This window comes from Homo sapiens, chromosome 5 (genome assembly GCF_000001405.40).
Source record: "Homo sapiens chromosome 5, GRCh38.p14 Primary Assembly".
In the NCBI taxonomy this organism is placed as follows: Eukaryota; Metazoa; Chordata; class Mammalia; order Primates; family Hominidae; genus Homo; species Homo sapiens.
The window spans coordinates 102508621-102513248 of NC_000005.10; the positions used below are offsets into that span (position 1 = coordinate 102508621).

The 4628-nt window shown below is 35.5% G+C and overlaps 1 long non-coding RNA gene across 1 annotated transcript; it reads right to left on the reverse strand.

The window, feature by feature from the left end:
• Positions 1 to 810: 810 nt before the first annotated feature.
• Positions 811 to 3341, reverse strand: LOC124901036 (uncharacterized). Its single transcript, XR_007058893.1, has 2 exons — positions 3230 to 3341; positions 811 to 1871 (listed from the first exon to the last, which is right to left on the reverse strand). It is a non-coding gene; the product is annotated as an uncharacterized LOC124901036 (long non-coding RNA).
• Positions 3342 to 4628: the final 1287 nt, after the last annotated feature.

The window sequence follows — 4628 nt, forward strand, 5'->3', positions numbered from 1 at the left end:
GAAAAAGAAAGGAATAAGAAAAGGAGGAAAATATACCAATATTTATTAGCTATTGCAAAAATGTCATCCAAGTATAGATAATTCTATATATTCAACAAACTTCAAACATAAATAATATGGTTCTGATAATGAATTCCAATTCCTTCTTATTTAAATAATAGAAGTCTTAAGACAAATGTACACAAGTGAATGGTATAAAATTGCTGTTATACATTTTTTGTCATCTAAAAAAGTCATTTATATACAGTTTGACCAAGAGTTTAGAATTTCCATGTTCTTTACCTATAATTTTTTATAAACTCACATTTTAAGAACCAAGGCATTATCAAGTGTATTTCAATACCTCTAGCCCTATAAACATACCTGTCTCAAACCTTTAAAAAACTAGATATTATGAAAGTCATCTTCTTCTAGGTATCTGTAAAGTGTTCTCTCATTGCACTGGAAGAGTTTTCTAGCCATGTTTCTTAGGACTACAACTTTTTATCGGAAACGATCTAAAAAACATCCTCCACTGTGCGGAGATCATTGATTTAGATGCTTCTTTTACTACAAAGTTTAAATCTAATATGCCCTCCCCACTCCCTACCATGTAGTGGCCCATTATATAAAGGCTATGTACATCACTAGTCTGCAATACAAGTAATCCAAGTCTGCATCCTGCTTGGATGGAGGAAACCCAGAGCTTTACCAGTTTCACTTTCTCCATGAATTTCTTGGATGTTTCTGAAGGATATTAACGTATTTTATAAATCCCTAATGTGAACCTATGATTTTTTAAAATGATACAATCACCACCCATACAAAAAATCAGTAGGGTCAAATATTTATTTATCACATTAATGAGGGTATCAGCAAGATCATGAGGCTGGTTCCAAAGTAATTGGGGAAAGCAAAGTATTTATAGTGGCTTAAAGACAGAAGAGTTGAGTAAGAATTCTAATTTAAATTGGCTAATGCTAATATTAATTGGTTAATATCTTATCAGGCATTAAAACTGTAACTTTCAGGAGTCATCTCTTTTTACAGGAAATCACTTGCATCTCTTGAATAAAATTCATTTCTATTACTATCAGAAAAGAGTCATTTGTATCAGTTTTCATACGTTAGTGTCTACCTTTACAGAGACAAAAAAAATTCTGTTCATTTCTAAATAGAAAGTCAAAGAAAAGTACTAACCCCTAGAGAATCAGATAATGCCATGTAGCCTCTGCTGGACAGTACCCAGCACAAAACTGAAAGAATATCCGATAATCTTATTTGCCTGTTTCCAAGGTTTTGATAATTTTTCTTAACATTTGCTTAATATCTGAGCTGCAAATTCCAGTAAGAAAGACACAGTACACATCTTCTGAAGCTTGCCACTAACTGACCTGAAACTAGCCGTGTCCAGGTTGTTACCCTTCTCTCCCAACAAATTAATCCTAAGTGTACACTCCAGCCAAAGTAGCCTACCATTTTGATTTGTCCAGGTCTGAGCGATTTCCTGAAATATTATATTTTTCAGTTCAAAAGTGGGAAATCCCAGGCAAACCAGGAGAAGTTGGTCATCCTAATACAAGCCTCTTCCTTAATTCCACAAAGAACAAGGAACCCCAAAATGTAATGTAACATAAAGCTAAATTTTACTTAAACCTTTGTGATATTATAATATAGAATTACCATATCAAAAAGAAGAGAAAAACTCAAAACCAGACATTACATACTCCCAGCACCCTCTGGGTCAAAGCATTCCAATGGAACTCCTTGAGGATATCTCCGCCCCTAGTCTCCAAACTCTTGCCACATTAGATTTAACTTCTCCACACACAGGAGTATCCTTCAGCATAATTGTCTGGACTAGGATGCAGAACCAGGACTCCCCAAGGACTCTAGAAGGAGATAAAATGGGGAGTTTTTTTATTATTCTGAAAGAAAACAAATTTCAGAGAGGTGACTTCATTGCTAAGTAAGAAAAAAGTTTATTTATAATGTGGAATAATTCCACTTTTTATTATGATATATTTCTGTTCCAGAATGGGATATTAGCTTACCTTAGGAACAGCCCTATTAAAATGTTTATATTTCTCCCCTAAAACAAAGAATATAACTGATCTCAAAGGTAAATTCAAGTTTCTCCACTTATAGAAACAAAAAATTCCTTGCAGTTTTGAAGTTGCAGAATTTTCCCCCACTTAATATGTGGTAATTTGTATTTTTCAAAGATGGCTGCAATAATATAACCTGCCGGTCATGTCCTCTCATGATGTGACATTGATAGCTCCCCATCAAAAGGTGGCATCTGTGTGTCTTCCCCTTGAATCTGGGCTGGCTTGTGACTACAGCCAAAGTGATGCATTCTGCCTTCTGATGCTAGGTCATAAAGGAATTTGAGACCCACCATCCTAAGTTAAAAATATATATACATAAATTCAAAAATAATTTTTAAAAATTGTGACACGGACATGACAAGCTAAGAATTGTGTTCACATACAGAAGTAGATAGGAATAAAAGATTTCTTGGCTCTAACCATCCCTAATTATTCTTAATACTTTCACCTGAAAATTCAATTAGGTCCTCCTTCAATTTTGTTGAAAGCAAAATATTGGAAATCGCCAAACTTGCAGAAATATTTTTAATTATTACCATCATTCGTTATTTCAACACTAACAACACCATTTCATATAGTTGCTTTGTTTGGCACAGGAACATTTATGCATTTAGTGAAAACAGCACAGTAAGATTCTGGATGAGTAAGAGGTGTGCCTTATATTGGAGTGTGGAAAAGAAAGGCTGTGAAAAGAGAGAGGAAAACAGGCATGACACTCTGGCATGACCCCTCCTCCAGCCTCAAGTTCTCAGGCACAGTACACGCGGAGTTCAGGTTCAGAAAATGGATTTCCTTCAAACAGTCCACAACTTTAAAAATGTTCATGTCTCAGGTTTAGGCCGCTGTATTAACTTACTTTTTTCTTAAAACAATGCCATGAAGTAGCTGCTTTTGATCTATTTTACAGATGAGAACATTTAGACAAAGATAATATTACATTACTTGCCCACGGTCACAAACTTACCAACTGGCAAAACCAGGATATACATCCAAGTTATTTCTAAAGCCCATATTCTTCGGCATTATCCAGTGTGCCCCTCAAACACTAAATATACAAACCACATGTCTTAGTCTGCTCGGGACAGTACAACAAATTACCACAGACTGGGTGGCTTAAACAACAGGAATTTATTTCTCACTGTTTTGGAGACCGGCCAAGTCCAAGATTCTGGTGCCAGCATACTCTGTTTCTGGTGAGGCCTCTCTTCCCGGCTTGCAGATGTCCATCTTCTCACTGTGTCCTCACATGGCCTTTTGTGAACATGAAGAATAAAGAGATCAGTAGATGCACATGAAGAATAAAGAGATCTTTCTCTCTTCCTCTTCTTATAAATCCAAAAGTCCTGCTGGATTAGGATACACTTTTCCCCCTGCTTATGACCTTATTTAACCTTGATCACCTCCTAAAAGTTCTGTCCCCAAATATCATCACACTATGGGTGAGAGCTTCAACATATTAGTTGGGGGTTGGGGATACACAAGCATTCAGTCCACAAAACTACATATCAGAATAAAAGAAAAAGTAGGAAGAAAATGATGTTAAGTGAAAATAAAGGAAATTACAACTGTCAGGAAAGAAGGCCCAGCCACAAATCAGCATCTTTCTTTCCCAGTTCTTGCTCTGAGATCTCATCTGTCCTATTGTCCCAAGAGCAGAACTAAAGAAAAAGTACAATTAGTGTCCTTTGGGAGATGCAAACCCTGAATCAATGTAATTGCAAATCATGGAAGATGTTTTCCTTCACTCACAAGGAAAGAAGTGGATTAGCTCCCTGCCATTTTTTTTCCCTCAAATAAGAAATGGCAATTTTACTTACATTTTCCTAATTTACTAGTTTTTCTTAGCAATCTGTTCTTTCTTTAAAAAAAATTACTTCAAAAAGAGTTCATTTTAAAGTGCCAATAATCTTTAAAATTTAATATTTGAGTAGTAAATTGAACTAAGCTCTCACTTGGAGTAATATTTTTTTTCTGCACCACAGTAAAAGATAAGTTGGTTTTAGAAATGGAATCTTCAGGTTCATGCTTCCATTAATTTCTGAATCTGTGTTTTGATACATGAATTTATTAGATGGCATTGGTATAACAAGTCCAGAACCTTAGCTGAAAGTGTACTATGAATCTAGGGTATTCCACAGTAAAATAGCATCTCTAGGGAAATCATCTTACTGTAAATAATATTAACCTTACGAGCATAGGGAAACTCCATTATCCACAGTCTCAAAGACAGTAGATTTAGCCACAATCTAGTGCATCTCAATAGCAATTCAACAGACTATTGCAATTTTTTGTTGCAAAGCAGCTCTCACTAAGAGCTCAGGTAAAGACTCACTTGTCTGAAATAATGAAAAAAACAATTGGCCAATAATGATACGAGCCACAGCATGGTAAGTATTGCTTATATACTGTGCCTGATTTTGTCACAATTTCTGCACATGCCCATGCTTGTCTATGAAGAAAGAGAAAGAGAAGGAGAGAAAGAAAGAGAACAGGACATTTTGAGCCTAAAGTGAGCGGACAGTGTGTTTAAAAGGCTGA